This window comes from Homo sapiens, chromosome 2, assembly GCF_000001405.40.
Source record: "Homo sapiens chromosome 2, GRCh38.p14 Primary Assembly".
In the NCBI taxonomy this organism is placed as follows: Eukaryota; Metazoa; Chordata; class Mammalia; order Primates; family Hominidae; genus Homo; species Homo sapiens.
The window spans coordinates 40,096,925-40,117,448 of NC_000002.12; the positions used below are offsets into that span (position 1 = coordinate 40,096,925).

The window sequence follows — 20,524 nt, forward strand, 5'->3', positions numbered from 1 at the left end:
AGACTCTTTTGTGGATAACTTTAATCTTTGTTATAACATAGGAGAAACAAAATAATTTCTTAACTCAGTGGAAGTTACAGAAGAATACTTTAGGTAGAGTTCAAAAATTCTCACTGGGGAATATAGGGTTTGGATTTCTCTCGTTCTTAAGCATTCTCCCAAAATTTGGTATAGAGCCTGATTCACAGTAGATACTCAATAAATACTTGTTGATTCAATGAATAAATGATTTTGGCTGTAAGTAAAATGTCCCTGAGCCTATGACAGGGAAAGCTTTGATTTTCCTTTGTTTAGGTTAGTTTAATGGAGTCACACTAAAGTTTATAAAGATCAATACAATATGAATGGCTAATTGACAAACATTTATATTTCAGTGTTAGGAAATATGGTAAGATTAGGAAAACAATTAAGACAATGATTTATACAGAATTGACTAGTTCAGGCAATGAAAACTTCACAGATTACAGTTTAACACGATTAAACATCACATATAACATACATGTATGACAAACAATGCTTCTGCTTTTGATATTAACATACCATCAATTTTACACATGAAAAATATTGCCAGTTCAACTTTGGGTTATAACATGTATAATTTTTTGATAAGACATTTCAAATTACAACATATCTCAGGCAGCATGCAGGAAGAGTCATTTATTGTATGTTTGTTAGGACACACCTTGCAACAAGCTTCCAGTTTTTGGTAGTTAGATCAAGAATATAGAAACCATTGAAATGATAGTATGGTTGAAATCAGCAGTTGTGTTTACTGGCTGAGAGCATTTCTGGTAAAAATAAAACTCTGAAATCATTCATTAACAAAATGCACAGTGATCATAAACTCAATTCTTTAAAAATTGTTTTTCACAATTCTCATTTATTGGTGATATGGCAGCTGCAGGAAGTCTGAATTCTGAGAGTTGGTTGTACATAACCTCAGGAATTTATTCTTCTGTGGGCTTACATGATTACGACAGAGATGCTTACCCTTTGAAATCACATATAACGATGGTGCTATACAAACATCACAAATATTTGGTGTCTGAGTCTTAACAAATATTATGTTTTTTTTTAATCACAAAGAGACTAGATTAACAGGCAGTGTAAATCACATATATCTTAAGATTTTAAAAATACATTTTATACAATAGGTTTCTAATTTCTTCACTAGCATTTTATTTTGGTGTGTTTTGTCTTCATACTTATAGTCCTAAAGGAAACTATGAATCTCTGGCTCATGCCATGAAAGTCAGTAAGATTGATATTTCCCCACAGGAATATGGCTGAGTGTACATTGAATCACAGAGTCAACAAAGTAACATCTAATTTACAACAGATTACTTTTAAAATTCAAATAAAATCTAATTATTTTAAAAGACATCAGTTTGAACAAAATTATAGGAGTCAAAATTTTTATTTACAAAACATTTGAGTATATTTGAAATGGCTAGTTCTTGCTAACTGCACAACTTAAATATTCTTGGTGCACATAGTCTGTCAACCTTCTGTACAACATTGTTAGACTGCTCAGTTAACTTACATGGAATGGTTAGGTAGGTGGGAAAATTATATGGCAATTTTCATCCATTCAAAGTGCTTGAAAGGGAATGTTTTGATGCTTTTCATATTAGAGAAGATCTGTCATTAATGTTGGTGCCTTTAATTTGAAAAGATTAGCTAAAATTTCCAAAATGTAATTTAGTGCAGTATAAGAATTATAGGAAAGATTGATAAATTTATCATCAAATGCTGGAATTCTAATCTAGCATTATGCAGTTGATCCAAGTCATTGTACCTCTCATTTACAAGGCTTCTGTGTACTACATTGGCTTAAAAAATATTTTCCTTGGTCCTTAGAAATACAAAATATTCATTTTCAAAAGTTAGAGAATGTTAGGGTGTTTCTTACAATCACATTCATAATAAAAGAAGATAATCTACATTTTACAGATCATTAAACAATGGTCTTTGGCAGAAGACTTTATAAATACCTCCACTTTTAACGTTTCGTTTAGGCCATTTTCCTTTTTAATGATATCAGGTATATGGTCACGTGTTCACTAAGAGTAGTTAATAGGAAAATACCACAGATATAAAAATATTTGTTTAGTGCATTTTTTTGAACCTTCAATTCAGAGTGAATCAACTCATTAATACTAGAGAAGATACTTTATGCAAGCATTTCTAACAGTGTTGCTTAAGATCATAATTTCAACAATATGGTCAGCAAAGAGAGTATGTATACCTCTATTCCCCCACAAAATTTTATCACTGAAACACACTGAAAGAATGTGCTGGAATCTTTTTCATTATAATACATTGTGTTTCCCACAAAATGAGTAATATATGATGCATATACCATTATGTGTGTGTGTCTGTGCGTGCACTCGAACGGCAAGTCGTGGAGATTACATTCATTGGCAGCAAAGAATAGAAACGGAAAAATTCAGTTAAGTATTACTGATAAACCACCACTAAGGAATTTCAAAGTGTAGTGAAGTTATTTAGAAATAACCGTAGACATGGGAACAAACTTTAGGATCAACTACGGGAATATTAGGATTTCTTACTTCATTTTTCAAGGTAACATCTTTTTCTCTGCATTTTTGCCTCCCTTCTACCTGCCCCCTGTCAGTCTTTGAAGGTCATTTGTGATGGGTCCTTCAAACTGTGAATACAGAATATGAATAGGCTATTCTTCCCTTTTTTGCCCTGTATAGGAAATTCATGATCACCTCTTAGGGAGACAAGGTTTCTGGCATTATGATATGCCACCCTTTTCTTTATGGATTGACTATTGTGCTTGCTCGGTATGAGTTCAGTTTACTATCAAAATTGTCCACCAAGTTATTCAGTGGGAAACACAATTGCCATCAGTAACCATCAAAGGCAAGAGAAGTCCTAGATTCATTTCCTACCTGAATCCTCCCTTCTGGCCTGCCCCTCTGAGAACACTCCAAAGGCACAGACCAGTGTTCTGTGCACGTACACAGTATGTACAATATGCTAGTTCCTTTCTTTGCCCTTGTCCAGGAAGTTACCAATGTCTCCTCGGTGTGAGCTTCCTACTGTCTGTAAAAATTAATAGATGGAACCCAGGCAAGTCCTGTTGTAATAACAGTTGTGCCAACAATTATTATTATGGCTTATTGGAAGAGTGTTGAATTGTACCACTGACCTACGAAAACCACCACAAAGGACACTGAAAGGCAAAGCTGTTGTGGGATAAGAAACAATTTGCTGTTATCTTCTAATATCAAGACCTTTTTAATGGACCACACACATAAGGGTCTTGACAATATGTAACTTTTTTTCTTAAGCTAAGAGAAAATTTTAATTTAGGCTTGTTTCAAGATTTCAAGGCTTGAGCCAATACAGAAACCATGGACTGTAGACAAAGGCAAGTCCCCACTGTAATTTAGCCTTGAGCTTAAGAGTTTCTGTTAAAAAAAGAGAGAAAGAGAAAACAAGAAATCAACCACTATGGACGGCAAAAGTTGGGAATGAGGTCAAGGCTCCTCATTGTTTGAAATAGTCTGAGTGAAACCCTGTCAGTCTGATCCAGCTCCTTCCCCTGCAAAGATGTATTTCCCGTCACGAAGTGGCCAGAAGTGGGTGATTGTTCTAAGTACCTTGTTGGTGAGGCTTTAACTTTGATTAAAAAATAGGGTGTGCAAATGAAGATGTACACAATGGTGGAAACACAGGAAGGAGTGACTGTGATTTCGTTAGAGCTATTTGGTAATCAGGTGTGAGTGAGAGGAATGGGACAATGGGGAAAAGAGCCGATGAGAAAATGTCCTCAGCGACAGACAATGGACACTCAAATGCTGAAGCTATGACCAGCAACAGGGGAGGGTCACAGATTTTAAAGCACACGGAACACAGTATCATACTTCAGTTATTCTAATTCCTGAAAAAGAGCTACCATTCCAAAATATCTGACAAGTTTGGTTTCTCCTAAGGGAGGCCTGGAGTGACAGTTACAACATTTTTCTCCAGAATATCACTGTTAAGCTTACATTTCCAGCCTCCTTTTACATACTTTGAATTGCTTTTGTGTATCAAAATGCATATGAGTATTTTAAGTATCCACAAATGTGATATTTTCAGGTTAGAATTCAGGAAACATACATGTGTGTGCACACATACACACATATAACCCACAATCTTAAGTTCCTTTTCCTAAGCCATTTTTACAAGCAGAGTTACTTTCTGACTCTCTGCTTTCAGTTCTGCACCAATTCAAATGAGAGACCCTAGAAAGGAGCCTCCAGGGAACTCCAGCTACTGTATACATCATCTGTGGTTTTCAAGCTTCTTGAGCCTTGTGAGTCTTTGAAAATGAATTCTAAAACTAAAACTCACTCATAGCCAGCAATCCTTTTAGCTCAGTCAGTCATACACAGCACTCTTCAAAACAGTAGACTGTGTCATTAAGTATAATTTAGTACTGTTACACAGTGGTTTAGCATTAAGACAAATCAGCCAGAGCTAATCAGTTAGAGAAAGGTGTCCAGGGTCATTTTCTAGGCCCCGGGGAAGTCAGGCAAAGTAGATCAGCTGTGGGGTTTTAAAAGAACTAGATAAGCTGATTAGAAATCTCTGACTGGAGAGGCTGCCTCAGACTCAGTTATGCCAGAAAAAGACATAAGGATTAATGTCCCTTAAAATTATATTTTAAGTCTGAATGGTGGACATATCTCCCATATATCTGAATGCATTATCTTTATAAAGAACCTACCTTTTAAGCATTTAAACCTTTTCTTAAGGGAAAGCATAATTAAGCAGTGGGTGACATTGTTCATTCTTGGCCACTCAGAATGCTGTGTCATAGATCAATGATTCTCAAATTTGAGCATGCATCAGAACCATCCTAGGGGCTTATTAAAGTCCATATTGCCAGGGTCACTCCAAAATTTTTGATTCATAGATCTGGGCTGAAGTCTCAGGTGGGACTGGATAATTTGCATGTCTAACAAATTTCCAGTTGCTGATGCTGCTTGTTTGGGGAACAAACTTGAGACTCACAAAAGCGGCTTATTTTTAATCACCCTAATTGCACTCTGGGGACAAAGATTTTCCATGTGGAATGTGAAGGTCAATATTGGATTTCCCCCACCAGACATTCTTACAATGTGGGTAAGGGACAGATTATATTTGTGCTAGTTTAATTATAGAGAATCTTTAGGTTCAGAAGTTTAATCAGTATATACAGCAAACCTATAAGTAAAATATGATTCAAAATGTGAGTCCCTACAAGTCTATTTGTAGAAAATTCTATGGCCTCTATTCATAGAATACTATTTTAGTAATAGCGTTAAAATGATCTCTTGTCACCTAGGTGATATTTTCTCTCTCACCTCAGGATTATTACCATAACAGCTAAATTTGTTCACAATTTCTTGAATGAACACAAGGGTTTGCTGACTTGGTTTTTTTTTTTTTCCTAGTCAAATCCATTTTAAAGTATATCAAATGCAAGGACTTATAGAAAAGAGTGAACAGAGGGAAGGAACATCAAGGGGCAATGCATGAAATTCAGTTGGTGAAAAATTAAGTTGAGCAACTGTCGGGACATGTAATTAGAATCTGCAGTTTGTTCAACTGCTAGGTGGATGTGGGTCAATCCAAGAGGCGGGATTGGTGCAAGAAGTTGAGGAAGACGAGATGAGCGTGTGTGAATGAGCAGCTGTCTGTGAGGAAGAAAGGCTAAATCTATTCACAGGTTCTCTTCCTTAAACAAGCACCTGCCACTGATTGACAGCTCTACCAAGATTGCTTAAGGCAGACATCCGCTGAAAATGCTTATGGTGCATACTTGTTTTTAAAAAGATGGAAAAACCTGCCTTCTCAATTTAGTATTTCCTAATCAAATCTGAAATGGGGGGCAAATTCAACGTGAGGGATTTATTAAAATATGAAAATACAGTCCTTACTGCATTAAAATAGCTCTATATAGAAATTTATAATGAGAGAAGGAAAAGTAATTTTATCCCTTGGCAGAAGTCTTAGTAATCACTGGAATTATAACAGAAATATTAGCTATTTTAATTTTCTTTCTCAATATTGAGTCTCACAAGATCATTTTATCGGTTGCAATGTCAGTAATTTTTGCTTACCTTTCCCCCTGACAAATTTAGCTTTGTGCCTCAGTGGTAATAAAGTTGGAATATATTACTGCTATGAAGCTGAAATAGTTTTGCCGTTTCCAATGACATTCTAACTGGGATTCCTTCAAGAGAAAGCTTACATTTATTCCACTAAAACATTCTTTGTTTATGCAAGCAGAGTTCACTATGGTTGCTTTTTCTTTCTTCTTTTCTTCCACCCCATGGAAATGTCTACATTCTTTTGCTATGTTTCGTCTGTTGTGCAATTTCATTTTGCTAATGAGGCATCTGAGCTGTGGCCGACCGGTTGATTGCTAAGGGTGAGATTTAAGTCTTTTGTGAAATCCTTTTGAGTAGTCATTTACTCCATGACAAGGGAGGCATTTAAAAGACAGTTGAATCTGTAGCAGATGAATTTTTTCTCATCTTCCTTTAGAATAATTACACCTTTAAATATCTTTCTGCCTGGTCATTGCACATCCTGTTTGTAATTCACATACTTTAGTAAAAAATAACTGGTTAGTTTTTTTTCCTAAAAGATTAAGCACACTGACTAAAAAATAAAAGTAGAATTACTATAAGAAACTGTATGAACTTAAAGTTTTCATTTAAAATAGTGGTTTCAGCCTTAAAAAGGTCACTGATTTGGAATCCATTCCAATCTCATTACATTTTCTACTGTACACTTCTTGAAAAGGGAGAAATTACTCATTCCTCTCAGGGAAGGGAGACTGTTTTTCCAACCGTGCACATGGAATTATTTCAAAATAAATGTTTATATTTCTATCAAACTTCATGTGGTTACATGGGCTTGACAAGTGCATTGGTGACCCAATATGGGCAGCAGCTGGCTCACAACTTAAAGTACCTTCAACCCATACACATAAGTGGATGATAACAGGGAAACACTGACCATACGGGGCTTGATGTGTTCTGGAAAATCAAGCTAAAGGTAAAGTCTTCCCATTTAATGATGAGGACAATCAAGTCCAGAGAGAGCTGAAGATTCCTCACCCTCTGAAACAATTAAAGATTCCTTTTCCAAAGAGAAAAGCCTTTGGGTCTTCTCTCTGGTGACTTTTTGATGTTAAAATGAAGAGAACACTGTGTCCTCAGAGATGAAGAGTGAGATGTTCTCTAGTTTGCTGTTAAAAGATGAGAGCTGGAGTTGTAACTCACTGAAATAGAACCACATGCCTCAAAGTCCAAAAGAGCAACAGGCAGAGTTAAGAAAATCCAGTGATGAATTAGCATCAACACCTAGTAAAAGAATTCAGCAATGGTGAGGCAAATGATCTTTGTAATAAGATTTTCCCAACTTGAAATGTTGAATAAAAGACCCTATATCAAACTTACACAGGTCTTGGCTCATGGTAATCTCTGGATGTGTGTGTTGGGTCTGAATCCATTTATCTTATTAGTGGAAGACAGAATGTGAAATTAAGAAAATTAATATTTCTATTTCTGTTAGAGGAAAGTTTCTTGATAGGTTTCAAAATGGCCCCATTAAGCAATCTCAAATTGATAAAATGTAGACCAAAATGGAAGGTTAATTTAATTAGAATGCCATAAGTGGACTCTTCCTGACTAAATCAAAGACTAGTGTTAATTTTCTTAAATTACTCTGTTTTGAATTCTTTATATACCATTTAGGGTACCTAATATAATACTTTGCACAAAATAAATGCTTGATTTATGAAATTGTACATCTGAAGAAATATAAAAGGCTCTAACTTTTGATTTTAAAATTGTTTCACTCTCTTGACTGTATAGTTTATGAGCCTATGATCCTGGAAAACACGCTTGCTAAACTGACCAATTTTTTGCTTTTTTTTTGGTTTGATTTCTTTTTTATTCTTTTTCCTTAGGTAATTATCCAGTTGATATTTATCTTGTTCCAGTCACCTTTAGAAAGCTGTTTGGTGAGTACAATGTTAATATAGAGACAATCAGAATGGTGTGTGCTTTTGTACAAAACTTGTGGATCCATCAATGAGGCATCTGCCATTTTTTCTTTCTTCCCCTCTATATTACAAGTTCTGGAATGCCTGTTCTAATTCTCCAAGGAGAATTAGAAAATAAAAGGCAGAGTCTAGAGCCATGTCAATATCCTCCCACAGAATGTGTATGGAGAATATTCCACTGGGAACCATGATAGATAAAAACTTACCAGGAAGAGCAAAACATCAAGAGAGTCTGACAAAAGCTCTGCCCTCCTCTGTAACCCAGCAGCCTCTGCAGAATCATCCTTTCTTCATTGTTTTAAAATGTTGTTAAATACCTTGTCAGTTGCTTTAAAGGGACCCAGACCCATTCTGATATTTTTACAAAATAAATCCAGTCTTTGGGTAAAGGTATAGTAATACTATCCATGGATCTGATGTTGAGTCGTGGAGGCTTCAAGCTCTGAAGAAGTATGAACTAATTCTAAACAGTGATTAAGCAATTATTATTTTCATTTTACTAATGACATGACTTCTAGAGTTGGAGTGTCAGAATATTCTCTTGGAAGAAAAGGATGCAAGTGTAGACACCTCATCACTAGGTCCAATCCACCTCACAGTGCTACTTTCAGTTTTGTAAAAATTGGTCACGGCAACAAGTTTGAAATAATAGGTTCACTCTCAAACTGGCAACAAGCACGTGATTGAGCTGCATGAATCTGGAAAGGCTTGTCAAACAAAACAGGCTGGTTCACAGCTGAAAGAAAAAAAATACTTCTGGCATTGTACTAAATTCAGAAACCGTATCCGACAAGGGGCTGAGCTGAGGTTGTGGTATGGCCCCAGTCCTAGGATTGGTCCCACCTACTTTGCCTAGTTCCTGACCACATCTGGTAATTCAGTGGTGATGTGATTATGACATTAACAGTGATAGGTTTCCCCTGCTTAGCTGCTTATTTGATTGTGGATAATGTGTGAATGGGGGCAGGAGAGGCAGTGGTTGGGCGCTGATGTGTTAATGAATCCCATGTCTCAATAATTAACACATCTTCTGGATAGCTTTGCAAAAATGCAATCTTTGCTTCAGATTTCACATTTAAGAGCATCTCCCTTTGCTTTGTGTTTAAAGTTTAAACATTCAGTCCAAATTTTAAAGGTGATAAGCAAATTTAGTGTATTTTGAAGGAAGGAAAACTTTTTTCCTTTTCACTTTTCTCTCACCATGTACAGTTGTTTCTGAAGAATGTGTCTAGGGATTGAGTCAGAACTATCAGGCTGGGCAAAGTGGCTCATGCCTGTAATACCAGCACTTTGGGAAGCCAGGGCAGGCGGATCACCTGAGGTCAGGAGTTCGAGACCAACCTGGAAAGAGCTCCTAGAAGAGTCACTGGTAGAACCAACTGCTCACAGCTTCTTTGGGTGCTAGACTCATTTAACAACCAGTTGTTGGAAAAATTTTCAATCCTTTTTGATAAGAAAGGTTCTCATAAAAAAAAAAACAACTAAATCTATGCAGAATTTGTGAGAACAACCTGAGAATATCAAGAATATTTTAAGTCTCATACATATATTTATCATAGACTTATCTGTCTCAAATAAGATCTGGAGTGTCAAATTTCTCACAGGATTACCGATGGCAGTAAAAACCTTGTTCTCCTTAGAGTTTTGGACTGAAACTTCAAAGACAATATTTTCTTCTAAATTTAACAATAACAGTTGTAGTTAAAAATAACTTTCCATTATAATATGATGTTATCCTTTGCTTAGATTCAATGCTACAAAAGTTCTGTTGATGAAATAGAAATAAAACAAAGTCTTTCCACCATTTCCAAGGGCAAGTGTCCTAGACGGGCTCCAGTATGTAATGCAGTGGCTGGTTAAGTAGTTTCCAATAACTTGGTATTGACATTACTGCCCCTTCTGCAATCTCACTCCTTACTCTTGATAAGAGAGCTCTGAGAAATCTCAGGTACCAACTGTTTGAAAGGGCTAGTTTGCCTGTTAGCAGGATCTTGGAGGGAAAATGCTAGGGACAAGATGATCAGTGTATATGAAAATTGGAAGTTAGTTCAGTTAAGAACATCTAAGCTAAAATACGAACGGCAGAGGACCCATGTGGTCAAAGATGTCCCGGTATGTGTGGTGGGACTGGGTGGGCCTCCTACTCCTCTGCTCCCAGCACACCAAAACACGTGTTTAGAAAATGCCGATTCGTGAACCCGGGAGGTGGAGCTTGCAGTGAGCCGAGATCCCGCCACTGCACTCCAGCCTGGGCGACAGAGCGAGACTCCGTCTCAAAAAAAAAAAAAAAAAAAAGAAAATGCCGATTAACAACAGGCATGGGAACCTGCCTGCTCAGTGCTATGTTTGGAGGGAAAATATAAAAATCTCATGTTTTTAATTCCCCAGGGTTCGACCTTGACCAGCATATTTTTTTCCAGAGCTTTTTTCAACACTTTCCCAAAAGGCAGAGGGCAATTAAAAGTCAGAAAGAAACTCTAATTGGCCCTAAAGATTTTCTGTCAGAAATGCCTGCTAAAAAAGAAAGAAAAATAAATGTATTTTAAAAAAGTACTTCTCTTTGTATTATAGAATATGTTTAATTAATATTATTCTAAGCCCTTTTCAAACAGCTCTGAATTTGTATCTTTAGCTAAAAAGGGGGGAGGTCAGGAATATGCTTCCTTCCATGCCTCTCCAACTCTTTCTCAAAGGATATCTGATACTAGGACAATCCTAGACATACAGAAATGCAGCTGAAGTTTACAGAGATCACCTACTTTTACATGTGTGTCTCTGGGCTGTATGCTGTAGCAAGAGAGGGGACAGAGGAGATCCAGTGCTGAAACAATGTCTGATCCTCATATAAACAGTTCTCTAACTATCATTATAAATATTTTTTAAAAATTTTTCACCAGTTGGAATGGAAACTTTTAGTCAAAAGAAAGAATATTGAAAACAACGCTAGTATTTACTGTACATTAGAAAGCCAGTGTATTAGAAGCCTTCTAACTACTGATAGATCAGTCTGGGCCTTGTGGTTCATTTGGGCCAGACTCAAGCTCAGTATCCCATCTAATGCATCAAATATTTATATATGAAAAATTCTGAAATGTAAAAATCAACATCAAAATGGAATCAGCCTTTCATAAATGAAATTGCTAAACTGTGAAGTTGTAAAATTTAGAAACTTGATGGCTTAAAGGAAGAAAGGGAAATTATTGAAGGTAATTTTAATGAGATACCTGTACAGGTCCAATGTATTCTACAAATAACTCAATAATTTGGAAACGTGTGCCAAAAACATGCTTTTCTTTGGTTGCCAAAGCCAAAAAGTATGTATGCCCAACTTTGATTTTCATATAAAACCTGCGAATATAAATTGTACTGTTGTTTCTGGAAACTGGGATTTATTTCACTTAAATATAATAACTTGCAAATATCTTAGGGCAATTTGTAATAAAATCCTAGTTAACACATTTTTGTGCCAATTCTCTTATTTTTAAATACGCTCTTATTCTCATCCCAAATGCCATATTACTCAATTACATGAGCATTATTTGAATGTACAATCTTTCAAGATTTCTTCCTTGGAGTATTTCTCAAACTTGAGCATTAGGATGAGTACAGGAAGGGAGAGCAAGGTATCTACAGAAAATATTATTTTTCTCAAAACTAGCCATCTGGTCATATCACTGTTAGGTTTAATGTTTGTACAATTTAGTTCACTCTTTGTTTTTTAGGTGGAATTACGTCAAAAAGTGGTTACATAGTTGGTTACTTAATTGGACTGTTCTTTCCATTTGGAAAGAATGGGAAATACAGTCAAGTATGTGATCTTCACATTAGAGGGAGGGCCAAAAGTTCTCCTTAGATAATTCATCTCTTGTTTTACTATGTGGCTTCAAGGGGTCTAATTAAAAAGTTGTGTAAATTAAAAGAAGGTTGGGAATGTAAGGAAATGTCTCTGAAAATCTCTGGGCAGGATTCTTCTTGGCGAATAAGCAATCTTAGTACGGAGGGTTGTATAATTATTCTAGTAACTTTATCCCCCCGTCCCCCAGTGCATTCTTGGATTTAACTAGGCGTATCTGTCTTTGCAGTCAACAAATTAGGAGGGCTGGGCTATATCTTAACTGTCAAAGTAGACAGATTAACAGTGAAGTTAGCTAATTTCTCTCTTGGTCTGTTTGGCTATTAATGTGAACTTTTCTACCATTTGCATAGCAGAAAAATAGTACCCACAGAGAAGCATTTGACCCACTCATATTTCTTAGAGGCATGGAAGCTATCTGTTACGTTTTTCTATGTTTACATACTCCACCTTTGTAGAAACCCTCATGAGCATCAGGGATGTGAATGTCGGTTCTCATTCCCAATCCACACCTACATATTGATAGAATAAAAGGCTAGGTCGATGGGCAGCACTGAAGCATAATAAATATGATTCAAGAGGTATAAAATAAACAACACTATTATATGTGTAACTGTAGGTATGATCTGTCCCGCTCATTTACAAAGATTCCATACTATGTCCTAGTGACTCTTATCTAGGTGGAATGTCATTATATTTGATTTCTCCTATGATAAGTTCACTTTCAGAAAAACATGTCTTGAGCAATCACTTTATAGCATAAGCTCTTTCCCTATTGCCGGGAGGTAATAGTGAGCATCACTAAGGGTAGTTGGATATAATGGGAGTAGTCACCGAAGAACTGCAAAGGCTGAAATTAGGGAAAGGAAATATTAAGACTGTTTATTCCCATGGGGAAAACTCTCCAACTCTTTGAAAAAATGCTAGGGAAGCATAATTCTAAAAAATGTGAACCACTGAGGCAGCTATGAATGACTACATTGATAACAGATAGACAAGACAATTTTGGGCAAGCAAGTCTTCCTGAAAAAATATGGGTCATAATTTTAACTACTAAGTCATATTGCTTTTTGAAGTTATACAGTAATGCTCTTTCCTAAAAGTAAAACAAAATAAACAATAATTTACATAACCACTGATTTAAATGTTTCTTACAAAATTGAATCAGAGAACCTTTGACAAAACTGAAAATGTGGACAGCCTCTGAGTACATTTGGACATCTTGACAGGCAGGGAAAAAGTCAAAGAAAGTGAAATACGTACCATTTCTTGTGGGCTGGAAACCTGCAGTGCTTTCCTTTGGGAGTTCCACCTCTCAGTGGTTGCTCCTTTTATAGATAAGACAGTCTCTGCTTTGAGAGACGATTAATCATGGCCTAATTAAGCTCCCAACATGAAATATCTATTTCAATTGTTTACCCTTCCTATGCTGTCCTTGTGGGTGTAATACCATCGGGACCGCCCAGCATTTTGAAATGTACTGCGTGATGGGAAGACAACAAGATGGTTAGAAGTGGTGAGTACATAATGGTAAAAAAGAATAGCAGAACTACATTCTATTAGCAAAACTCCGTAGGTAGAGCTGAACAAAATCTAAGGAATCCACTTATAATAGCATGTTTCTTTTTCTGAAATAGGATTCTGTATCTTCTGCATAATGCACTCACCAATTTAATGATTGGAATTTATATTTAACTTTGCTCAGTTTTACCAACTGCCTTGGCCAAGTGAAGTGATTACAATGATAAAAGCTGAATGCCAGTTGTAGGTCAGGTGAGATCCAATATTACATGCTGTCAATCATAAAATGGCCAAACGTTCTTGAGATTATGAAACTACACTCAGAACTTGCTCTGCATGCAACTGCCCAAAATCATAGTCAGAAAGTCAGAATCAACAGAGAGACTCCATATCCCCAGCCCAAAAATATTAAAAGAAGTCTTAAAGGGGCTGATTTATTCTCTTGAGAAGGCAAAGTTCTGCCACTATTAGAGGATGGAGGGCATCATCATCTACCAGAGAAAATTTTCTAATTGCTTCCACAAAGTTATCAGATGTATATCAGTCTCGCTACTTTATTTTGACAGTTTAGGATCAGGGACCTTTTGCTGTGGAATCACCAATGAATCAAGACCCCTGTGGAAAATGCAATGTGAGTGGTGAGCTTTCATTAATAGTGAGGCCACAGGGGAAAGGCATGCATCAGAATTTTTGCAGGGTTTCTAAAACAATATTTTGTAAAAATTTTATGTTTGAAAAGCAACAAAAAATTAGTGCTATTAGGCTATGAACTACAAAAAGCAAAATTTTATAAAACACTCACTGGTTGAAGGATGGAATCAGGAAATTTGAACCCATTAAAATTTGCTTGTAAGAAACTGATAATTATCAGGTCACAGAATTTTTCTGAAAGGTTGTTAGACGGTCAAGGAGCTCTGGTCATTGAATTAATCTTTTTGCTATATAAAGAAATAGAGGTTGGCTGCTCATTTTGTGTTAAACCAAAGGCTGGTACTCAAGAGACATATTGACAGTTTGATACTATAAAATATTTAAATAATTCCTTCATTCATACATGAAAGTATACCACATATGACCATATAAAGAATATAATGAGGAATACTAAAGAAAATTTTAAAGATGATCGGATCAATAAAGTAGCATTTACTTGTACATGTGGACAGATTCTATTATAGTAAGAACTAAGTCCACTAATATGTCAACTTCAAATAAGTACACAAACCTTAGAGGTCACATTTTTTCCCCACAAATGCTTATTCCATTTCTGACATCACTTCCTTCTATACTGTTTTGACTATATGATATATGAAGTTAATAAGATATAGACAGAAATCGTTAATGCGAGGCAGAAGTTCTACAAGAGGAATATAACATATGAAACTAAAAGAGAAATTTACTTAAACATCCCCTTGGGAAGAAACTGTACTACCATCAATTTTGGGATTGGAATTTTTTGGGATCGACTGATTTGATGTAATACTCTGCATGCTAAAAAGTTGTCTGACATGTAACTGTTTATGGGCTTATGATCCTGGATGCAGGAAAGGATGTAGATAGAGTCATACTAAGCAACGTAAAAAAAATCAGTGAAATGGAGGAATGTCCAACATATATCTCAGCACTGTAGGACAGACAAATATTCTGACACTGTGTTCTCCTGGGACATTAAAAAGAGAACATTGCATGACCGAAGGGTTGACGTTTGCAAGAGTTTGAATACTTGGTGTCTGTTTTTTTCTTTGGATGATGATACCAGTTGCACAATAATACCATTTTGGTTTTTATTTCTTCAAAACATGAAAACAAAAAATGAAGTAGATGACAATGAGAAAGGAGAAAACATTTCATACAGAATATGCTGTATCACTAGTGATTAAATCAGAAACAATTAGAAACTTTATTTGTCTGTGTCAGTAATATGTACCATTTATAAGGAAGAGCACAATTAGTGCATTTCCCGCCCCCCCCCCAAGCTGTGCACAATACACACAAAATAAAATAATTTTACACAACTATAATAATAACAATCCTGAACAACCAGAATCATAGTTTCCTAGAACATGAAAATTTAAAAAGCAAACAAACCAAAAAGCTTTCAAATTGAAATCGACCAATGCAAGAATTTCTTAAAGTTCTCTGTGAAAATTTGCTACAGGATTATTGACATTCCTAATACAGCTAAAAAATGAGTGCAAAAATTTTTCTAATGTTTAAACAACTTATATTCCTTGAATATATTTACTTGGTGCTTCTAGGCTAGCTTTCCATTTAGCAATTCTCAAAAAAAAAAAAAATAAGGATGGGAAGGATGGGTTAGAATGACAAAGAATTGTAAAGTGTGGGCCATAGAAAAGTTCCATTGCCAACAAAGATAAAAGATGGGATACACTGGGCTTTCTCAGTGATCTGGATCACCAACATGATTGCCCTTCTTGGTTTAAAATGGAGAGATATATTTATCTGCAAGTCGGTCAAAGATAAAGAGGGTGGTTTTCCAAACATATGCCTTATGCTCTCTTAGTTAAAGAAATTCTTGGGTATAAATACAATTTGGACAATTGCTTTGATACAGTTTCAGTGTGTTTATGTTAAAAGAGTTTCATAATTGTTTTTTCTTGCAAGATAAAAATCTTTCCATATGGCTTTCTTCACTTTTACTCATGAAAATAGTAATCACATAAACTGTAACCCTTCTGAGGGCAGGGATCTAGACTGTTTTGTTCATGGCTTAGTCCCCAGAAAGTATCATACTACCTGGCACATTAAGTGGGTAACCAGCATTTAATTACTCATTCAGTCACCAAATGTTTATTAAATGAGGAAGGATCATGGTTACTGAGTGACAGAAGAAAAAATAAGTCTCAACAGCTTTAATTTATTAAGTATTTTTGAATCAATACAGAGGGCTAGGAATGTCTCCAGCCTGGGATTCCTTATAGACACAGAAGTCTCCGAGAGGTGACCAAAGTCATTCTATTATTTTTCTCATTAGTGGACTCACTACTTTGGAATGTTGGGTTTATCCATGTTCTTTGGTATTTTAACATAGAAACAGCTATTCTTTTTAAAGGGTTAAAAATATCCCAGTCCAATCCTCCTGGGAGGTACTAGTCTTATTTAATTGCCTTCTCTTTCAGCATAAGTAGAGGAGACAACACTTTTAAAGGCCCGTTGGTCACCCTGGCTTCTTTCTTACTCAGCAACTACTGATATAATCAAAGAGGACTAGACTGGACAGTGAAAGAAACAGGGCTCAAAATAGCCTTTTAAGTAAAAAAATAAAATGAACAAACCAGCACTATCTACCATCTGTGCCAGACAGTGCAGATGTGAAATAAATACTTTGCAGGGAGGGGTGTTGTGGAAAGGGTGGCTCTGAAAGCCTAGGCACATCCAACATATCAACGTCTCTATAAGGCCTTTCTCCTTGGCCTTCCTGAATTAATGGGTGATTTTTAGAGGCCTCTGATGTGTTCCACATGGCTAATTTTCCATGAAGATCTTTGTAGTTTGCCTGCTATCCTCTCAATAGCTTTAACTTCTCCCCACATGACAGTTATTGCTTCTTAGAAATGAATGTGCAGAACCGTGAACAATAATCCATTTTCTCCTTTTATCCCTAGTAATTAATCAAACTCAATAACAGCACAAAAGTAACAACTCAGGTGAAAAGAAAACTCACTTATGTCTTCAATGTCCAATCAACATTGCCAAATGGGAGAACAGTATGTACTATACTCTACTATATACAGATACTCTTTGTTTTGTTTTATTTGTTTTTCACCATGCACTGTGTAACAGGTATCACAACAACATTTCCGAACGGCACATGAAGAAGGAGCAAATGTTCAGTCATGACTGGAACAGGATTGTGCAAGCCATGGATGCCTTTGAAAATAAAACTGACAGACAATCCCAAGCAACGGCAACATGGGACTGAGACACATGTTAATGCAAATGGAAAACGATGATGTGCTTTTTGAATGGGGTTATTCTTACTGTTTGCATAGGGGATGGCAGGTGGACAGGAGGAACAGGGTTGGGATGGGGCACCTGGGGGCTTAGCTGGGCTGAATGCTGGAAGAAGGACCTTGCCAATCACAGTCCAGAGCTAAAGAGATAAGAAAGAAAGGATTTTGCACGTTCCTGGGAATCTAGGCACGTTTTCCTTGTACCTGTTAAACGAGACTGCCAGGTATCACATGTTTAAATATCAGACTATTTCTAGAACCATCGGATTTCCTGGCTCCATTCCACTTTTATGCTTCTTCTTGGAGGCAGCTTCACCTCCACTCACATTCCGGAGATAAGCATGAACTTTGGTAATACGATGAAGACATGCTTCTTTCTTCTTCCATGCCCAGATTTTTTCTTAATCCAAAATAAGTTTTAAAGTGATTGGGGGAGGTGAGGGGGAATACTAATGATTTAAATTTTTACCAAAACCCATTTACATTTGGATGGTTTCACTTTCCACAAAGAAAAGCAACAACCCTGACTCTCCCAAAAAAACAAAACAAAACAAAATAACAAAAATAAAGCCAAACATTAACTACCTCCCCAGCTCCACTGAAAACAAAACCAAAAACAAAACAAATCAAAGCCTTAAGGATTTATCAACCTGGAGAGAGTGCAGCCCTTCTAGACTGAGCTGCAAAGATGGCCCTGCCTCCATGCCTTGTTGAACATGATGATGCCCCTGGGAATGGGAGGTGATGGTTTTTTACTTCGGCCCTAGTACAGAGTATGCTCTTGAAGCTGGATTCCATCAGCAGGTAAGTGAACATGACAAATGTCAGTTTCCTCTGTCCATTATACATAATTTTTATGTATATATATGTATATATATAAATTTACTATATCTGATAGTTCCTTTAGAAGCCTTTTATGTGGCAGTAGGCCTCCAGGGAGGAGAAGAAAATGTACAAGAGCCATAGGAGCACAAAGAGGCAGGATGTGAGGAGCTTGGCAGTCCGGGGCCCACCCAGCTCACCTCCGATTTCTGGCCTCCGCCGATACAGCAGCACCCCCACATTGATGAAAGCAAAAATGGTGAAGAGAGTGACAGAGAAAGCTAGTGTGCCAGGGGACACTTTGAACTGTTCCCCATTGGCTGCGTGGTAGATGGCAGCGATGGACCAGGCCACACCGATTCCCAGGAAGACATTCACCGCGTTGCTGCCCGTGACGTTACCTATGGAGGCGTCTGCATACTGGTCCTGGGTGGCTGCCACTTTGCTGGCAAATGTGTCTGCAGAGGAAGAAGAGAAAGTCAATGACACTCAATCTTTTAGAGATGTCTTTGGAGTGCTGCAAGCTTCAGCTGTGTACTCTAGGACCCAACCCTTAATATAAACCCAGTGACCAAGAAATGGCTTTGATGTTCCTCTGAGTCAGACTCATGGGGTGAAAAGAACAGGATCTAGATATTGGGAGTTAAGGGTTCAGTGCTGGCTGTGTAATGGACTGAGCAAGTGATCTTGGTCAAGTTTTGTATCCACAGATACTGCAGTTCTTTGTAATATTGACCTTGCAGGGCAGCATTTTTTCAGAAAGTAGTCACAGCTCACCTACATCAGAATCAAGTGGGGTCCTTTCAAAGAGTGAGTATTGCAAGGTGCCATGCGGCTGTGCTGGTCATAATGACAGCGGCCCAGGAATCTATTTTAACAGTATCCTAAAAGATTCTAGGTCACTAAAGTTTCGGAACAGCTGCTGGAGGGTATTACTAAAAGATGCTGTATCAGCAGCTCTAGTTTATAGATGAGAAAGTTAAGATGTCGGGAGAGATTTTTCAAGATTCAAGAGCAAGCCAATAGTGGAATTGAAAACAATTGAACTATAATAGAGTAGCTGACATTTGCTTAGAGCCTTAAGAATAAAAAAGCAGATTCAGCTATATTACTGCATTGATTGTGATGGTACTTTTTTATTATTATTTTTTATTATTATACTTTAAGTTTTAGGGTACATGTGCACATTGTGCAGGTTAGTTACATATGTATACATGTGCCATGCTGGTGTGCTGCACCCACTAACTCGTCATCTAGCATTAGGTATATCTCCCAGTGCTATCCCTCCCCCAACCCCCACCCCACAGCAGTCCCCAGAGTGTGATGTTCCCCTTCCTGTGTCCATGTGATCTCACTGTTCAATTCCCACCTATGAGTGAGAATATGCGGTGTTTGGTTTTTTGTTCTTGCGATAGTTTACTGAGAATGATGGTTATGAGGTGAGGGAACGAGGCTTAGAGATGACAAGTAGTGGATGCAATATCACAACTAGGAAAAAAACATGTTAGGGCTACAGCTCCTGCCTCATGTCTTCAAAACGAATGCTTTCTCATGGTGCTTTTCTACCTTTCACTGTGCTGTGGGCACCAATGATCATTTTCAAAGCCCTTTATTTACTCATAATCCTGACTGTATCTTTTTGTGATGATAGGAAAATCTTGGTCCACTACAGAAGGTTGAACAACAGTGACTTAAACTTCTTGATGGGTAGAACACAGGGGTTTAGAGCACATTTGAGCTGGGGGACTTCAAATCCTGCCTTCGCAGCTGACTGTGTGACTCTGGAAGATTACTTAACTTCTCTGGGCCTCAATTTCCTAATCTGTTAAATGGGGATGGTACTGCTCACTTCAGAGTGCTGTTGGTAAGGTGAAATACTACATGTAAATAAAATGCTTTTGATGCTTTTTGGCACAAAGTAGTAGGAGAGGCTGTTTTTGTTGTTTTGGAAACACAATATAAACCGAGCAGGCTAGATCGGTTTAAAAGTTGAGGTAGGATCTGAAATAGCTTCCTGTATTAAGCATGTGAACAGAACTTGCAAGATACTAAATTTCTTGTCCACATTATGCCTACTTACATCAAAGTCCTGGCTGGGCACGGTAGCTCATGCCTATAATCCCAGTACTTTGGGAGGCCGAGATGGGCGGATCACTTGAGGTTAGGAGTTCGAGACCAGTTTGGCCAACATGGTGAAACCCTGTCTATATACTAAAAATACAAAAAAAAAAAAAAAAAAAAAAAAAAGCCAGGCGTGGTGGTACACACCTGTAATCC

The 20,524-nt window shown here is 37.1% G+C and overlaps 1 protein-coding gene and 1 long non-coding RNA gene across 24 annotated transcripts in view; one reads left to right on the forward strand and one right to left on the reverse strand.

Annotated features, from left to right (window-relative positions):
• SLC8A1-AS1 (SLC8A1 antisense RNA 1) overlaps positions 1-20,524 on the forward strand; it is a 337,576-nt gene that overhangs the window by 179,291 nt on the left and 137,761 nt on the right. The window contains exon 3 of the long non-coding RNA NR_038441.1: positions 7,985-8,038. This is a non-coding gene — a long non-coding RNA (SLC8A1 antisense RNA 1). The remainder of the gene's footprint in view (positions 1-7,984; positions 8,039-20,524) is intronic.
• The window catches only part of SLC8A1 (solute carrier family 8 member A1), a 415,166-nt gene continuing 394,987 nt past the window's right edge, over positions 346-20,524 (reverse strand). For all 23 annotated transcript variants that reach the window (NM_001112802.2, NM_001372263.2, NM_001394106.1 and 20 more), the window contains one exon: positions 346-18,705. In NM_001112802.2, the coding sequence (NP_001106273.1) occupies positions 18,329-18,705 (377 nt within the window). In that variant the 3' untranslated portion in view covers positions 346-18,328. The remainder of the gene's footprint in view (positions 18,706-20,524) is intronic.